The sequence below is a fragment of the Homo sapiens genome, chromosome 9, assembly GCF_000001405.40.
Source record: "Homo sapiens chromosome 9, GRCh38.p14 Primary Assembly".
In the NCBI taxonomy this organism is placed as follows: domain Eukaryota; kingdom Metazoa; phylum Chordata; class Mammalia; order Primates; family Hominidae; genus Homo; species Homo sapiens.
The window spans coordinates 117,216,993-117,236,327 of NC_000009.12; the positions used below are offsets into that span (position 1 = coordinate 117,216,993).

Below are 19,335 nucleotides of genomic sequence, written 5' to 3' on the forward strand. Positions count from 1 at the left end.
CAGGATTTAATTCCAGGTCCAGCTGGATTCAAAGGGCCAGGAAGTGGTGGAGCTGTGACTGGGCCCCAGCTCCCCATTTCACAGCCCTTGGTTACTGAACGGCAATTCTCACTGACTAAAGAGAGGGAAGGGGAGGAGGAGGAAAGATGGTGAGGGTGCATGAAAAGGGAAAAGGAAAGTATTATTTTCAAATTCAGCCTCCAGATGTGCAATGGGTGCATCTTCTCTTCAGAGAAGATTTTCATTCTGGCCCATTGATGCCCCTGGGGGAATCTCCTTGCCTGACCATGCCCTCTGTCTTCTCAACTTTGGGCATTTCATTCAGTGAGAGGATAAGGTCTTACATGGTTCCTGGGCCTTCATTCCTCATCCCACTCAGTATATCCCGATTATGGTTGTGGGACTCTGTGGTCAGATCCCAGGACCAATACTGACCTAGGAAAGATGAGGCCTAACCAACCCATCCACCTGCAACTACTAATGCCCCTTCTTCCTTCCTTGTATCCTTTGCCTTGAGAGCCTTCCAGTAGTAAATGGCTAAGTGTTGGCATCAGACTGACATGATTTTATCCAGGTTCTACTGCTTAGACACTCTGTGACCTTGACCAGTTTATTTTATCTTTCTAGATCTTTGGCTTTCTCATGGATTAAACAAGGACAAGAGTCATAATGCCACCTCATTGGGTCATGAAGGCTAAATAAGATGCTTGTGGGGTATTTAATATAGGGTAGGGGCACATAGTATCATAGGTTGTTAGCTGCTGTTACTGTCAACAGAATTCAGCAAGTATACATTCTGTGTTGAACGAATAAAGGAATGAATGAAGGAATGAATGACTTGAGTTTCTGGCCCTATATACCTATTCTGCACAACTTGCCTTGGATCCCCAAATCCTTTTCAATCTGGACCAAATGTTTGATATGTGCTCTTTCATTCACCTTTACACCTATCATCATCCTACATTAAGTTGGAAACTCAGGCATAGAGACAAACGTCATTTACTCAAGATAGAGCAGCTGAGATTCAAACTAGCTCCAGCATGACTTTAAAACCATGCTCGGAGTGGAGAAGGCACAGGAGCAAAAGCCTACTTAGCCCCTGCTCAGTCTCACTTCTGCCTTATCAAGTTACCTACACAATTTCAGGCACAGATTTCTCAACATAGGAAACTTCCAGAAGAATGTGGCAGAGGGACCCCCTGGTTTGGGAGGCACTGAGCTTGAGGTTCCCTTTAGTTTATTGACCCATTGATTCTTTAGCCCTTGACCTTGCCATTTGATATGAGCCCAAGCCAGTGGCTATGGCTATCCCTTTAGGGCACAGGTTCATTGTCCTCACTCCCCAGCCTGCCCTGAACTCAGCTTCCATCACCTCCAACTGAGTCACTGACCACGTGGTTTCCGTTACAGATTCAAGTTTTATTGCAAGAACTTGGTCAAAGCAGATTTCCAGTATTCTGGGGCTCATCGTGCCACTGACTACTGAAACAGACATCCCAGGCTGGGCTTCTAAAGAACTCAGGAGGCATCATCTAAAACATGGTAGCAGCTTAGGTAACGTTGCAAGCACCAATCTGAACATCCCTCCCTCCCTAGACCCTGAAAAAGTAGTGGAATACATAAAATTGGACACAGTCTCAGAGCATGTGGGAAAAAGCTTCTAAATTCAAGTTTACTTACTTTCTGACCTTGGCTTGCTCCTATGGACCTTCAGTTTATTAATCAGTAAATCGGAGTTGGCCAATACTTGTAATACTATATCACACAGTTAGAACTAGCTAAGACTGGGAGTCAGAAACACAAGGTTGAAATCTAATGCTGCACATATAAGCTGGGCTATCTTGGACATAGAACTTAATTTCTCTGATTAACAATTTTATTATCTATAAAATCAGGTCATAGACTTCTTTATCAAGGGAAGTGAGATGTGAACTAATGGACACGGGATACTTTGCTTAGTGCCTGGCACATGGTAAACCAGTGATAGGAGAAAATCTTCATTCATGGTACCCCCTATAGGCTGCTGTGCAAATCAAATCTGAAAACAGCTGTGATATCCTGTAAAAACTGAAGAGTGCCGTGCACAAGCAAAGGAGCTCAAGAGAACCATCTGGCTGCTTCTGTCATAGTGAGACATCTCACCCAAAGAATGCAGATGAGTGACTCAGAATCAAGAAGGAAGTGTAGACTGTGTCCACCTGCACTGGTCCAGGCTTCTGTCCTGGTCCACACCCATAGAATTACATACTCCCTTCTTTAACAGCTTCCCACACCAGAGGTAAGCAAACAGAAAGGCAGGAGCAATCGACCAGTGCTCAGCACGGCCAGTGTGTCCAGCCTCTGAGTCCACACCAGGAGCAAACACAGGCCCAAGCAGTGGAAAAAAATGCTGCACGGCAAAAGGGGAGCTGAGGAGGAAGAAAAAGACCTAGGAAGATGGCTGTGAATTTTTAGAAAGCAAGTTAAGAAGAGGCGAAATCTCCAAGGGTGACAAGCTGAGACCCTGCTGGCCTCAGGGACGATCTGATGCCAAGTCCGATTTGTACCGTGCTCACTCCAGGGCAGCCCTAGGCAAACAAGGCTGAGGAAGTCACTGCAAGTTCTAGAAATAATAACATCAGTCTATTAGTTACAGGGTTGCTTCTGTGAGGTTGTAAGCTGGACAGATCTTGGGGTGATTTGTTTTTACCATCACCTTATGAGAATTTCAAGAAGCTTTCAGGGAGGAAGTGGAGAAGAGATGTGAGAAAGAAAGTGCACCCCTATCCCTTCTGGAACCTTCCCTATTACAAGTCTCTCTAGGCAGGATCAGCCTGCTTCTCTTGTTCTATTACTGACAGTGAGTCTCAGATTCCCCATGGGAACAAGACAAGGGTGAGGGTGGGAGGTGTCAAGGGCAGAGTGCTCTGATGGGGAAACCAGGTGCCTGGGGGCATACAGGCCAGCATGAGAATCCCTGCTTCTCTCCTTGCTGTTGGCTGTGACAAGTTCATTACATTTTACTTCCTTGGACTGCAATAGGCTCCCTTTAAAATGAGGCTGATAGTTCACAGTGTGAAGAGTTATGCTAAGGATTAAACAAGACATTCAAAGGTCTGGATAAAGGATCTGGCACCACAAAAGTCAACAAATACTAGCATCATTCCTTCAGCTTCCCTATTTGTCTATCACAAACCAAATCCTTTCACCCCAGTTCCCCTTGCTTAAACTCCTCTCCTGGCTTCCTGGGGTCCTTAAAATAATGTCCAGGTTCCCTAGCCTGGTACACAAAACCCCTCATGACTGGGTCCCTGCTCATTCCCCAGCTCCCCACAAGCCTCACCTGTCCTACTTGTCCTGGAGTCACCCTGGGCAGTTGGCATCCTCCAAAGTGTGATGCTCCCTCTTCTGCACTCTCTATCCCCTCAGCCTGAAGCACCCTCTCACTCACTCGACCTGGAATCTCAGAAGGTGACTTCAGTTGGAAATAGGATATTTGCAGAGGTAATTAGTTAAGATGAAGTCATATTGGATTAAAGTGGGCCCTAAATCCAATGACTGGTATCCTCATAAGAACAGGAGTGGACACACAGGGAAGAAGCTCACATGAAGATGAAGACAGAGATCCAAGTGATGCATCTACAAGCCAAGGAATGCCGATGGTCATCAGCAACCATGAGAAACTGGTAGAAAGGCATGGGACAGATTCTCCCTCAGAGCCTCCGGGAGGAGGCTTGCTGACATCATGATTTTGGACTTCTGGCCTCCTGAACCATGAAAGAATAAATTTCTCATGTTTTAAGCCACTCAGTGTGCAGTAATTTAAATGGAAGCCCCAAGAAACTAAGGCACTGCCCTTGACCTCTTGATCTCAGCCCATTCAGCTGTCTAAGCTTGGAGATCACTTCCCCAGGGAACATCTCTGCATTTTCAGGTTGAGGTGAGGCTTTCATGGCTCCAGTCCTCTGGCTGTTGTTATCCAATCATCTGTTTGACCATTTTCCCATTCAAGGTCTTGAGTTGCCATTTACCTCTACCATTTATCCAGCCTTAGTTCCAGTGCTTAGCCCAGGGAAGGTGCTTAATAAACACATCCAGAAGCTGACAATCTTCACCAGACTTTCCAGAGGAATGCAAATGCAAGTACTTGTTTTAGCTCTGATCCCAGCATCAACAAGGCACCTGACCAAACCTCGTATGCCCCTTTGCTGCTTTTACTTTCTCCAATGCCAGTGCCTTCAGCTGGTTTTCTTACGTACACAACCTCAAAAACAGAAAAATACACAGAGAGATAAAAAGTATAAAGCACTTCAAACCACCCCACCAAGAGAGCCTTCTGAAAAGTCAAACTCAGTACACTGTTTGGCCTGGCCTCATTTTAATCTATTTTTCATGTTAAAATATCAAGGCATGAAAGAAGGAAGCAGAGAAAGGAAAGAAAGGGATAATATGAAAAATGCTTTATTTGACAATGTGTCATTCAGAAACTGATTATTTCTGTCTCTGGCCTTTTTAATATTCCCTCACTATGGCCAAGCCACCAGGGGATTTGGTATTCTAAGACTGGATTTATAATACTCTGTTCTGCAGTGATAAGAACACAGGCCTTTAATCCTCAGAGCTGTGAACATGCATATTCTCTCAAGTAATGTCCTTCTCTTCTCGTCACTTGTTTCTGGTCCCTGGCAGCCACGATGCCATGATGGCTGAGAACTGGTGATCCACTGGGCCTTCTCTTGGCCACTTGCCTAATGACAGATCTAGTGGGGAAGGGGGCCCGGGATCCAAGTGATCCGAGACGTCTCCTTTCAGGCCCCAGTCTATGTTTAAGCTGGAAGAATTATTAGAAAATAGTCTAAGTCTTTAGTGTTAGAAGAAAAAAAAAAAAGAAAAAGAAACTGAGACTCAAAGAATGAAAGTGACTTGACCAACATCACAAACCATCCTAAAATAGTTCTGGAGACAGAATATGCAGCCGACTCCCTCCAAAGCTGCTAAGGAAACGTGAATTGTGACAATTTGATCTACAAAATAGCTTCTATAACTTTCCATTTCTCTCTACTCTATGACTGTCCTATGCCCTAGTTTTCATGGATTTTCATCATGATAATTTTAATACATGCTGAATGATCTTCCAGGCTTTATTCCTCCTTTCCCACTATGCTCAATCCATCTTACTTACCGTAACTAAGGCACACATGGAAACTGATCCCTTCCCCATTGACTAAGCTAAGAATCCTGTAGTTTGACAGTTCAAGTCCTCATCATCTATCTTTGTGGATAACCTTGTCTCGAACGTATGCTTTTGAAATGCCCTTCTTCAAATGTGTGCTTTGGCCGTCCATGCAACCACCCCTACTAAGCTCTTGCTACAGAGAAGGCATGGTGCCAAGTATCCAACCACAGTGAAACTCTCTGCTCCCAGTAAGCTGGGGAGCAGAGACTGGGGCCTGAAAGGAGACTTGTCAGAGTACGTGGAGCCTGAGCCTCCTTTCCCACTAGCTCTGTCATTAAGTGAGTGGCGAAGAGAAGGCCCAGTGGATCACCAGTTCTCACCATGATGGCACTGTGGCTGCCAGGGACCAAACTCTCAGTCCTGAGGTGTTTTTGTAGAAGCCATTTACTTTACCTGGAATGATGCCCTCATTCTTATTCCTCACCCTTATGTCTACACATCCAAATACCACCCATACTTCACTGTTAACTTCAATGCATCTACTTTATGAACTCCTAGGCTTTTCCCTTCCCCAGGTGCAGCCAGAAGGAATTTCTTTATCCTCTGCACTCCCACAGCGCTTCGCCTTAACCCTCACTTAAGGATCTTCAGCATTTCCTACCTTGTATTAGAGTTGTTGATGCTCTTTACTTAGCTGCCCTACAGGTTAGATTATTATGCCCAGTGTACAGATGAAAAAAAAAAGGAGACTCAGAAGAGAAACTGCTTAAAACCATACAACCAAGTAGAAAACATATATGATAAGATTTTCCACTGGGGGCAATTCCCAATAAACCATGGGTTCACTATCTCAGAAGGGAGCAGCTGGAGAATAAGATAATAAGAAAGTTCAGAACATATTGCAAAAGGCATAAGGATCTAAAGACTTTTAGACACTGAGGATCTAAAATTTTTTTATGCCGTAGGGTGGCAAAATCAGCTGTATACCTTGGAAAGATCATAGTGGGCATGATGGGGAGATTGAAAACAGGGATACCATTGAGGTAGATTTTAACAAGGGTCTAGGATGGCAGTTCTCAACTGGTGGCAATTTTGCCCCCCAAGAGGCATTTGGTAATAGAGACATTTTTGGTTGTCACAACTTAGGGGAGAGAGTACTGGCATCTAGTGGGCAGAAGCCAGGGAATCTGTAAACATCTCGCATACACAGGACAGCCACATACAACAAAGAATTAACTGGTCCCAAATGTCAATAGCGCAGAGTTTGAGAGTCCCTAGTCTAAGAGAGATGATGAGACCAGAACTAAGAGAGTTAAAGTGGTGGGTCAGCTAACAGGATAGGAAGACTTGTGTCTATTGGTGGGGAAGGGGGTGTCAACAATGACACTGAGGTCTCGATTCTGTCACTGGATTAGGGAGGGACCTATCTATCTACGTCTTATTTTTTCTTGGGTAATCTTCCAGAAAGTTATACAAGATACCAGCATGTAATCAAATGAAGAGATACATTTACATGTGTGAACAATAAGGGAAGAAAAAGGCACAACAAATAAGAATTTGCATGTATACATGTATGTGATTATGTATGTATTCACATTTGTAAAAATATACTCACACCTATGTTAATACATCTATAGTTAGCTATATTTATCTATATTTCTTTTTTGCCTCTAGACAGATATACGGTGACCTATTTAAGAAGTCCCATTATATAAAAAGAAACATGTTTCTCTTTAAAATAAATCATCTACTTACCATGTATCTATTAGAGATACTATTTTACTTCCAAAGATAATGCCAAAGGAGTAAAGTAAAAACACATTGGTTCTTTGGAATGCATTCACCTTCCACCCACTACCCCCCAGCTCAATCTTCCTTAATCATCTTTAGATCAGATTAGAACAGGGTCAAAATCCTGGGAGAACATACTGAATTCTATAAAAATTTATCAAGGAGAAAGCTAAGGAATGCTTGGAGACACCAGCGTTTTCCCGTAAGTTAGACAGACATAGGTTCGTCTATTGACATTTTTGTTAGTACAGTCATGACTCAAATCTATGTCTGTTTGACTTATATGGCTTTGGATAAGTCACTTGAGTTTCTTCAGTTCTCTCATCTGTGAATTGGGTTACTAACACCTAAGTGGGAGAATCTGTGGAGGATTAAATGCGATTGCAGTGTATAACACAGTTAGCTAATAGCTTGCAAGTAGTGGATCTTTATTATTGATGTAAGACCTTGTTTCCTAAAAAAAAATTTGATACAAAGTAGTGGTGAAACCACTACTTCCCCTCCACTATACAATCAGATATTCTCTATACAGTTTCCCAGCTGCATTCCTCCCATAGGCTCCAAGCGGTGATTGTGATCCCTTCCCCTCTTTGGGGTAAGTAGGTGGGATTGGATGGTTTCTGACAGCCATCCCAGCTCTAATATTCTAGAAAATTAAAAAAGCAAAGGCAAACTGGAAAGCGTTTTGGAAGAGATGAAATACATACATTCTTATGACATCTTGCCTGGTATTACAGGTGTAAATGCATACATTAAAACAGTTAACCACGCTGTATCCTTCACACCATTTCACGTTTCTGTGCTTTTGCTCATGCTCCCTCTATCTGAAATACCCTTCCCTCACTTCTTTGTCGAGTCCTTTAAGCCTCAGCTTGTGGGTCATGAGTTCTCTGAAACCTGCTTTTTCTGACTGGGTTAAGTACCACCTGTTAGGTCTTGCAGTGACTCATGCTTTTGTCTGCCAGAGCATGCCGCAGATTGCATCATAGTTTGACCCCCTCCCATCACCCTAGTGCCCATTGAGGGTGTTCTTAATCATCTCTGTTTTCCCAGGATCCAGCTCAGGGTCTGACACTGAGTAGCCCTCATTATGTATTTATTGTATTTCTACACTGAGAGGCAATGAAAGGAAGGGCAGGGTTTTATTTATTTCTGGTTGAATTTGAATGGTACACAGCACAGAGTAGTAGATCTTCAATTACTTGTTGAAAGAAAGGACGAATAAATCCATCATAAATGCCTCTCTAAGGGCAGGTGACCAAAATACACCTACATCTGTCTGGCAGTCCTCCATCTGTCTGTAAGAGAGGGCTGAAGGTAATTCGCATGAGCCATTTAACACAAGTCAGCATCCCACTACATGTCCTCAGGTGGCCTCTCAAGTTCTGTCGCAAATCCCACTCTGAAGGACGGGTGAATGGAGAAGGTAGGGGAAAACATCTTTAGGAGGATTGAGTTTCTTCCCACTCTTTGAGTCATGAAAATATACAGATGGGCCAGGCACGGTGGCTCACGCCTGTAATCCCAGCACTTTGGGAGGCCGAGGCGGGTGGGTCATGAGGTTAGGAGTTCAAGACCAGCCTGGCCAAGCTGTATGTATATATATATATATATATATATATATATATATATATATACAGATGAACCCAAGTGGCCAGAGAGGAGCTTTGCCCTCATTCATTGATTTACTTATTCCCCAGGGTAAGGTCATACCTGGAAGCAGGCAGACCTAAGTTCCCATTTTTACTCTGCCACCTACCAGTAATGGGACCTTGGGACATTCTCTCTGTGATGCTCAGTTTTCACAGCTCTAATACAGGAATAATGCCATTCACCAAAAAGGCTGTTGTGAAGATCGGATAAGGTGATATGTATAAAATATGTCACACAGCCCTTGACCTGCATAAAACATTCAATACGTGGTAGTCATTGGCTTAACTCTTACTACTATTATTGTAATTTTCTGACCCTGTAGCAAACCTTCTGCCTCGATTTAGAAATACACAGGTATGCCCTTGAAGAACTCACAGTTGGTTTGTGGCAACAGGTAAGTAAGCAGGCAGTTATCACAATGCATAGTTCAGCAAGCTCCATGTAAGAGGGAAACATGGTAAGGGGCAAAGAGTTTCTCACAGCTTCCAAGTGTAAAACGTAGAGAAAGTGAGGATAAAAAAGATTTTTCTTGCAATTCCAATTACAGTCAAGTTCAAAGGTGTGAAGAACATGCCCATCCAATCAAGTACACTCTTGCCCAAAATGTGACAGAAGACTGGATAATCAGCTAAACTGTGTAGTGGTTAATGGTGCAGGCTCTGGAGTTGATGGCCTTGGGTTTGAGTACCTGTGCTGTCATTTACCAGCTATGGAACCTTGGATAGGCTACTAAATTTCTCTGATCCTCATCTTTCTCATCTTAATGAGACTAACATTTCATCACTGAAATAGACTATTGTGAAAATTAAACAAGTGAATGCAAAAAGGAATCCAACAGTGTCTAGAATACAGTCAATGCTCAACAAAAGATGATTTAAAAAATTCTGGCAGAGGAAAAACATATTGAGAAAGAAACCAGGCAACTTAAATCCCAGTCCTTACCTTACCCCCTTATAAAGTAAAAGAAGTTTGCAGAAAGCTCACAGGTCCTCATAAAGCGGGTTTGTTTGTTTGTTTGTTTGTTTTTTTAACAGGGTGGCCATAGCAAGCAAATGAACTAGGCATTTCTAACTTCATTAACAGATGACAAAAGTGAGCCTTTCAAGAGGGGTTTTGCCCTTCAAGGCTGAAAAGTCAGTGACAGGACACACATTTGGCTCCAGAATCCTGTTTGTCTGCTGCATGCTGCTACAATCATCTTGAAATGTTCGGTGTGTCTGGAGAGTCGGCAGAATGAAGAGCCTTCATCCTTTGCTCAGTACATTATTCCCTGGGAATGTGTTGCAGATTCACAGGGCTGATGTGAGATCCCTAATATTGTGCCAACCTTAAAATACTGTGCCAACAACAAAGCCTTCTGAGGTCAGAAGTAGGGAAAAGAGAGGAAGGTGGAGGCCAGTGAGAGCCTGGTCAACACTAATACATGAAAAATAAGTTTCATATGGGGAGGGAGCTTCTGAAGGGAGCTGGCAGCATAGTGGGTCTGATGCTGGCTTCTTTAGAAATCATGGGTGGGGGTTAGGGGAGTTGGTGTGGGTGAGGGTCATGGTCAGGGATTGCTGATCTATCACCAAGACAGAGTCACGTTGGTGAAGGCTTCCCTTTGCACCTGCTCTACCACAGTGCTCTTCACCTTTGTCTCCATCACCAGATCTCTATTTCCTTTCCTTGCTTTAACTTTATGTCACTTATCTCTCACTTTTATTATATTACACACTAATTTGTTAACTTTGTTCATGGCCTTAATAGAATGGAGCTTCCATAATGTAGGGCCTTTTGTTTTGTTCATTACTGTCTTCAGCACCAAGAACAGCACTTAGTGTTTTGTCAATGCTTAGTAATTCTTTTTGGAGTGTATGAATAGATTAATGGATGCAGGGATGGGTGGATGGATGGATGGATGAATGGATTACTGGATGGATGAATACATGAGTAAATAGATAGATGTCTCTCAGAATGGTTTAGTAGCTCCTCAAGGACAATAACTAGATATGAATTATTTATTAGCCTATACCCGAGGACCGAAAAGGCTGGAAGATATGTAGTGAATAAAGAAAACATTGCTGTTAGTTCCCTTTTGGTGCCCAGGTAAGGGGTACTGGGTATAGGGATAATGAAGACACAAATGTGATAACTAACTGTTAACTCCTCTCTCTCTACTGTTGGACCAAAGAGGAAGAGGTGGTCTGAATTCCAAGCTTGTTTAGTCATTTATTTATTTATAAATACTTAGGGAGATACTGAGCCAGAAAGTAAAGGGGTGAAAGGGATGTCAGATGCAACTCTTCAAGCACAATCACTTTACACAGAAAGCAACCTGATAGCTGTATCTATTTGTTATTACTATTACTATATCTAGATGGAAATCATAGGACTTTAGTGAAAGAGGGTGTCAATAATGTGGCTCAAAAAACACTGGATTTGGGTTCAAATTCTGACTGGGTGATTAGATGTACATTCCTTGGCTAGCCATGTTACCTTTTTCAGCCTCAGTTTCCCCAGGTTTAAAATGATCAACAATAACAGGTGCCTTTTCCTCTTTATGTAAGGACTTCATTGATAATCATGTTTTTAAAAGAACTATATATGTTATAGAGTAATTTACACCCATCAGAACTTTGTATATAGGTGTTTGTTAAAGAGAGGGACTCCAAAAACCACAGGTAACTCAAGCAGAGTAACTTAGGCGCAAAAGAAACAAAGCTGCAAATCTGCCAGCTTTCCAATACTTCTGATACTTCTGTCATCTATCCATCAACCTTTTTCAAAACCTATTACAAGTCACACAATAGGGGTCTCTTAGAGGCATTGTTTTGCTGCCATTTTACAGCATTGATGCTGTAGCTGCCAATTGTCTTGACGGCATGTTGTGATGGTCTCAGGATCTCCCCTACCGGGCTAGATCAAGAAAACCCCTGGAAAGTTAGTTACTAGGGGCAGAGAGTCAAGCATAAGATGCCCATCAATGAGAAGGGAAAAGAGAGAGGAGTCAATGGGAGGTGCTCTGTGGCATGATAGGAACAGGAATTAAAAGCTGGCCAGTGTCCTTGATGTACCCACCAGGGCTGAGCTGGTATGATTCATTCTTTCTCTTCACCTTGCTGCCCTTTGTCTCCTGAGTATTTAAAGACGTGGAGTTCAGGCCAGTCTTGGTGGCTCATGCCTGTAATCCCAGCACTTTAGGAGGCCGAGGCGGGTGGATCACCTGAGGTCAGGAGTTCAAGACCAGCCTGGCCAACATGGCAAAACCCCATCTCTACTAAAAATACAAAAATTAGCCAGGCATGGTGGCACGTGCCTATATTAGGGGGGCTGAGGCAGGAGGATCCTTGAACCTGGGAGGCGGAGGTTAAAGTGAGCTGAGATGGTGCCACTGCACTCCAGCCTGGGCAACAGAGTGAGACTCCATTTCAAAAAACAAAACAAAACAAAACAAACAAAAAAAACCATGAAGTTCAATATCTCCTGAGTAATCCAGGTAGTAGAGATAATTGCCCAGCTACCTGTCACCTTACCCTTAACAACTCCTCTCATCCCTGAGATAATTTCCACCCCTGCTGGCAGGACAGGCAACCCAGGGCCCAGGCTGCAGGGGAATCTGGTAGACCATGCTTTCTTTCCTGGTTCAGAGAACATCTCAGTTGTAACACTGATAACGCTCCCCGCCCCCAAGCCCTACCATGAGTGCTGAACCTCGATCTGTTCCCTGAGATCTTGCTGTCACACACAGGACTGCCCCAAGGTGGATCTCCAAGTCCTGCTCCCCACATTCCCTCGGGTTGTACATCTATTGCCTTCCAAGACCCACCCTCATATCCAGCTCCAGCTGGGCTACCCAAGACTGGGCAGTCTCCTTAACTGAATCCCAGGGTAAAATACAGGAACTCAAAGCTCCAGCATATTGTATCCTTAAGTGGTCAGCGATAGCGTCCCCAAACTGCCACCCAACAGGACAGCATTTGAAGCACTCATTGAGCCTGAGATTGGAAAGATGAGGTCTGGAAGAGCCTGGGAACTGTCTAAACTTCAGATTAATTAGATGAAGATGAACTTAATTCCACAGCTACTGAAATAAATGTTCATGTCACACAGCCGTCTCCAACCCATATCGGTGAGGGGTCTGGGCTCACTCAAGAACAACTAGCCTGGGTTCCTGGCCCATTCAGAGTCCTGTGTGTTTTGAACCAACCAGCAGGTCCTGAGGAAATGGACTGAGGTGGAATAGGGACTGGTGGTATTGGGACCACTTCAGAGAAAGTCTTTATTTCTGGCCAGGTGTGGTGGCTCAGGCCTATACTCCCAGCATGTTGCGAGGCTGAAGTGGGAGAATTTCATGAAGCCAGGAGATTGAAACTGCAATTCATGAGAATTTCACGAGGGTAGGAGATTGAGAAACATAGTGAAACCCCATCTCTACAAAAAATAAAAATAAAAAAAGGCATGGTAGCGCACATCTAGCCCCAGCTACTCAGGAGGCTGAGGCAGGTCTGCTTGAGCCCAGGAGTTTGAGGTAAGACTCTATCTTAAAAAAAAAAAAAAGCCCTATTGATCCTGAGCCTCTGTGGAATCTGGGTGTGTGAATTTCTTCAGGCTGAAAAAAAAAAAATCACCCAAACTGAGTGGCTTAAAGTGTTAGATATTTATCTCTCTTAGTTCAGGAGGCCAGAAGTCTGAAATGAAGGTACAAGCAGGGCCAAGCTCCCTCCAAAGGCTCTACAGGAGACTCCTCCCTTGCCTCTTCTCACTTCTGGTGGCTCCTGGAATTAACCTGTGGCAGCATCATTCCAATCTGTCTCCATCTTCAAATCACCTTCTTCTCCCCTGTGTCTCTCTCCATCTCCTCTTCTTCTTACAACAATACCACTCATTGGATTTAGGGCCCACCCTAAGTCAGGGATGATTTCATCGTAAGATCCTTAATTAATTACATCTATAAATACCTTATTTCCAAAGAAGATTATATTCTGGGGTTCTGGGTAGACATCAATTATGTCAGGACACTATTAAACCCCGTACACTGAGGAAGGATATCTAGGTCCATTATTTAGTTGCAAGAGTCACTGAAGCAACCCATAGTAAGTGAACCAAAGAGATTGAGCCAGGAAAGAAAAGGTCTAAGAGAGAATGAAAATAAGACCTCTTTTCTCATTCCTCAGTGGCTATTCTGGGGCAGAGGGAGCGGACAGTGCATGCATCATGGAAAGGTAGCATCATCAGCAATGACGAAAGATTCCACAGAGAAGGCTGTGGACTGAAAACAATACAAAATATACAATAAATCCTTTCTGACACAGTAAACTCCACTCGCCTTTTAAGACAGAGCTTGTGTATCTTCTTGACCCTCCCAGATAGAGTTGATCATCCCCAAACTTGCCTGGTCATAAATAACACCTGGGGATGCTCATTAAAAATACATATTTCTGGCCTTTAAATAAGCCTGCAGGAGACCTTATCATCAGGTAGGGTTGGTCTGGGAGCAGAAGAGTATTTAAATCCTATCTACAGCACTCTCTGAGTTTCTGATCACAGCAGGTCAATTGATTCAGTATATCTCATCTTCCTTGTCTGTGAAGTGATGTTAGCAGTAGTATCTACTTTAGGATTACATGCATCACTCTGCTGAGTGATGAAAACCATAGAAATTCTTAGTAATAGAGAGCCAGGACTATTGCCAAGATTACAGCTGTCTACAATGGCCCTAGGCCACTCTTTGGCATATATTTGCCTACATACCTGCCATCCCTGACTAGTCCTTCTTATTTGTGTATGCCAATGTAGCTTCTTGGTTAAAGCTCAGACTCTCGATCCATGAAATTTGAGTTCAAATCTTATTGCTACTCTATTGGTTTTGTGGCTTCTTACAAGTTACTTTATTCTGTATCTAGAAAATGGGGATAAGCAAATCTATCTGATATAATTGTAAAAATAAAACAAAATAATCGATACATTGGTTTGAATTGATTTAAAATCCAAAACAGAAGTGGAATTTGTGGAATTTGGGGAGGATAAAGGGGGAAGGAGCTTGTTGTCACTGGTGAAGTCCAAGAAGCCAACGGTTTAAGGAGAGTTTGGAAAGGGGAGAATAGAGGCAGAGAGAGTGGGAAGCGAGTGAGGAATAAAGGGAGCATGGAAAGGAGGGGAGAGTGTAAGGTGAGAGAGGATAGAAGGAAGTGCAGGAGAGTAGAAAGAAGCTTCTTTTTCAAGAATCCCAGTGGTGTTCAAATCCCATTTCTCAGGCCATTACAAACATAAGAATCTCGTCTATTTTGCTCAGAATCTTCTTCCTTGTTCTCTGTCCCGACCTAGAGGCTGCTGACTTGGGCTGTCAGAGGGCCACTAAGTGAGCACACCTTCCTTTTCTCATCATTGCTTTTCAGGGCCCTGCACTCGGGGAAGCAGCCCAGAAGGGGATTAGAAGATCTGTGGAGACAGAGCTGGAGTAACTGTCTTCACCCTGCCACCTCCATGGGGCTGTATAACAAAATTACAAAAGCCACCCAGGGTAAGTGCTGCTACAAAAGTAACAGCAAAAGGTAACTGTCAATTACAAAAGCATCTAGGAGCCTCATTTTACTCATCCGTTTAATGGGCATCATGAGGGTCCCATGAGTGTATTGTCTTGTTTTGAGGATTAAGTGAAGATGTGCATGTAAACACTCTGGATAGTATTAGGAAATGTTTCTTCTTTATACCCCAGGTTTTGATCAAGATAAATTTCCCCCAAATCTCTCTCTTGCCCAACATCCTTTACTCCTCCCCACTAAGGTAGACTGGATCTGGAATGAGGCTGTGAGCTTGCATAACTCTTTCCCTTCATTGCTTCTTTTGCCGTAGGAACCAGCTGCCCTCCAAAAGCAGCCTTCTGCTCTGCCCTGCCACCCCTTCTGTTTTGTGATAACAGATTCCCATGTGAGAGGGTGCCAGGCACTCAGCACTTACCCTGGGTGGGAAAATACCCATTTTTGCCAAGTCCTCCAAACTAACCTTTTGCAGTAATAAAGGCAAAACATTAATCTCCATCTGCTTTACTCCTTTTACTAATCTTTCAAACTGTTCTCAATTCAAGTGGAGAAAATATGGGGCTTCCACAAATCCCATGCCGATTACCTGGGTCCAAAGAATGTTCTCAGCAAATTGTTCTGTTATTATTACATTCACCAGAAACTCTATTGTCTCTTCTCCCTTTGTTGGGAGCAATTTTTTTTCTTTTTTTAATTTATCTCTCTAAAAGCTTTCACATTTTCCCCCTTTTATCCATACAGTTCTGAAATTTCACTGCAATGCAACTAGGTACAGATTTTTTTTTTTTTCCTTTTTGTTCCTCATTCATCATGTTTGGTAATCAGAGGACACTTTCAATCTGTTGTTCCTTCCTTCTGCTCAGGGATGAGTTCTGGCATTATCTACTTCCTTCCCTGGCTCTGCCTGGATTCTGGAGCTCCTCTCTTTGCTGTTAACAAGCAAGTCTTCTAGGAGGTGAGCTGGAGCTTGCGTTCTTCCAGTTTCAATCTCACAGCCTCCCTGCATCCAGGGCTCTGTGTCCTTCTGAGGGGCAGAGAGCAGGCTGAGAATAAAACTCCTGAAGAAATCAGGGAGGGGCTGCAACTGGGAGGAGGCCCTGCTTCCAATTCCCCCAAGCGAGCATGTGTTCCTCGCTCCAAAGCAGGAAATCAAACAAAATTGCTGGACCTAAACCAGTACCAGGCTCAGTGGAAGCCAGGAACTGGCAACTTAATCCTGTTAATGAGATTTTGGGCAAGTCGCTCAATACCCCCTTAGCCTGATTTTCCTCATCAGTCAAGTGGCAACAATCATTTACCTTCCCTGACTCCCAGGGTGGTTGGGAGAATCAATGAAATGATGCACATGAAAAAGCTTTGCAAATTACTAAGGGCTATCTATGTATAAGCATATGTGTGTGTGTGCATCCAAACATACACAACCTAAACATACCCCAAAATGAACATCAAATTACAGAGAAAGACTGAAGTCTGTTAAGCAAATTTCTGCTCATCTTTTATGATCCAGTTGAAATGTCCCTGCTTCTATTTATTTGACTCAGTGCCTAAAATAATTAGCTTGAATTTTTTTTTAAAAAAAAGAATATAGTCAAACAAAGGAATTGCACTTATGGCAGAGTGGTGATCACTGAACAGTGAGCAATGAGACTGACCAAGGAAGAAAGCAGTTTTGTGTTTTCTATCCCATCTTCACTGTGGATTATCAATGCTCATTGAGTGTAACAGTGGTCATAATAACCTAACCGCCTAAATTTCTGTTTCTGTGTCTCTTGTCTCTCATAAAAAATATATAGGTTAATTCATGCAAATAAAATGCACATTTGATAGGACTCTACTCTTACAAAATGCTTCATGTATCTGTCCTATGAACTGGAGTTTCTCATAAGATTCTATTTAGACCAATGACTCCCTGCTAAAATTGTTGATGGACTATGTCTCTCAGCAACAGGAGGGTGACTTTGGAGTGTGTTGTATCCAAAAGCTGAGCAGCAGAAAGGGGGAGTTAGATGAGATGGTATGGACTATGTAAGTGCTCAGAGGGCAAGAGGGTAGAGACAACTCCTCTCCTCCCACAGACCAGCAAAGGCAGCAGTGGTACTCAGCTGTCTGCCACCAGCCTGAAAAGGGAGCCTCAGGCAGGGACAGATTGTGTTTGGGTTGGAGGGTAAGAGTAATAACTCAGCAGAGACAATACAGACGTGCTTGGCATATTCGGACCACCTTACCAAGATCTCCCCTCCCATTTCTCCTCCACGCCTCTCCAGCGCCAGCTAATCCCTCCTGAACCGGCCATGTGTCTCCTACCGTGCTGAACAGATGCTCAACAGCAGCTAGAAGGAAACCCAGTGGAGGCAAACACACTCATCTTTCTAAACTAAAATCCCACTTTCCAAATATCAGAACGGACAGGAACTCAGAGATCTTAAGGTTAGCTGACATTGTTAGGATTATCACTGCTTTTGTACACTTTCCTTTGAAAAATTTTAATTGGAAATTCATTTCTGAATAAAGCCATAAAAGAGGCGCTGCTCCAGTCTAAATGGAGGTTGGGGGTCTGAAATCTCTAGAGCTCCGTGGAGCAGAGCTAGAAAAAAGGACTCTTTCATTCTGCACAAGGGAATGTCAAGGCTGAGAGAGGATGAGAGCCTTTTCTAGGTCAGGCACGATTAGTGGCAGAGCCAGGACTAGAACCTGGCCCCTTGGTGGCCATTTCAAGGTGTGTTTCCATTGTCAGACTCAAGACAGAAAGCTGTTTAAAGGTGATCCATATATCAGCGATTTCAAGGGTTTTAGGTAAGCAATCGGTGTCTGCTGTTTTAGTGTATTTAAAGAAGGATAAGGCTGGGCGCAGTGGCTCACGCCTGTAATCCCAGCACTTTGGGAGGCTGAGGCAGGTGGATCACCTGAGGTCAGGAGTTCGAGACCAGCCTGGCCAACATGGTGAAACCCTGACTCTACCAGAAATAAAAAAATTAGCTGAGCATGGTGACAGGCACCTGTAATCTCAGCTACTCAGAAGGCTGAGGCAGGAGAATTGCTGGAACCCAGGAGGCGGAGGTTACAGTAAGCTGAGATCACACCATCGCACTCCAGCCCAGGCCAATAACAGCAAGACTCTGTCTCAATTAAAAAAAAAAAAAGGCGGGGGGAGGATAAAATTTTATTTTCCAAGCCCCTATTGCATGTCATTTATTGGTATTGACAAATTGAATGCATTATTAAAACAAATCAATCCTCATTGGAAATCTGTGAGGTCAGTGTTAACATACCCATTTTGCAGATAAGAAAACAAAAAGGTTAAACAATTTGCTCCGGGTCACGAAATTAATCTGTAGCAGCCCTATTATTAGAACCCAGACCTCTAAGACTCAGAAAATCATCCTGCTCTCCAGAAAAAATGTCCTCTCATCTGAAAGTGTATTACTGTAACTACAAGCAAACAATGTAAAATAAACTACTACTACAACAAAATGGCATTTGCACAGTCCTTAGGTTTAAAAGCCTTTCCCTTCATTAGTACCTCATTTGAGCAGCTCTGTATCACATGGCTGGGTCTAGGATGAGGCAAGTGGGTACTTGTCTTGTATGCAAAATTTAAAGGGGTTCAAAAACCTCAGTAATGAAGATAATATTTCAATGCAACTCTTTTTTTTTTAAATACAAGTTAATGCATTCCTGAGTTTATAGGCAACCCTTTAAATTCTACGTCCAAGGTGAGTGAGGCACTCATATTCTTTGCTGGTCCTAGCCCTACAGTTTGCAGACCTGTGAAACAGGGAGAAAACATATTTTCATACCAATTGTGCAGATGAGGAAAGTGAATCTCAGATACATTAAATAACATTTTCAGAGAACTAAAGGCAGGTCTTTCTGACTTGAGCTCAGAGGCCTGGAGTTCATCTTAATCCAAATCCAGCTGTGGCTCTCTCAACCCTGGGAATCTGGTGACATAGGTATGTTGGGGTAGGGAATAGAGCTAAGTAGCATTATACTCACCAGAAAACTGAGGCACATTCACCAAATGAGTTATCCAAGACCCATGGCTACTGTGCAACAGAGCTCGGAAATAAACTCGGATGGAACTCCACACTCAATACTGCCTTCCATCATTACCAAAACACGAGGACTAAAATGTTCTTGAATAATACACAAAAATTCTGAGGTGCTGCATGAATCCACAGTCAGCCACAGTCCTGGAACAGTACTAAGTGGGCT

The 19,335-nt window shown here is 43.2% G+C and overlaps 1 protein-coding gene and 1 long non-coding RNA gene across 4 annotated transcripts in view; one reads left to right on the top strand and one right to left on the bottom strand.

The window, feature by feature from the left end:
- ASTN2 (astrotactin 2) overlaps positions 1–19,335 on the bottom strand; it is a 991,946-nt gene that overhangs the window by 793,881 nt on the left and 178,730 nt on the right. The window lies entirely within an intron of this gene.
- Positions 1,483–16,048, top strand: LOC105376237 (uncharacterized). Its single transcript, XR_930273.3, has 3 exons — positions 1,483–1,554; positions 14,977–15,101; positions 15,984–16,048. It is a non-coding gene; the product is annotated as an uncharacterized LOC105376237 (long non-coding RNA).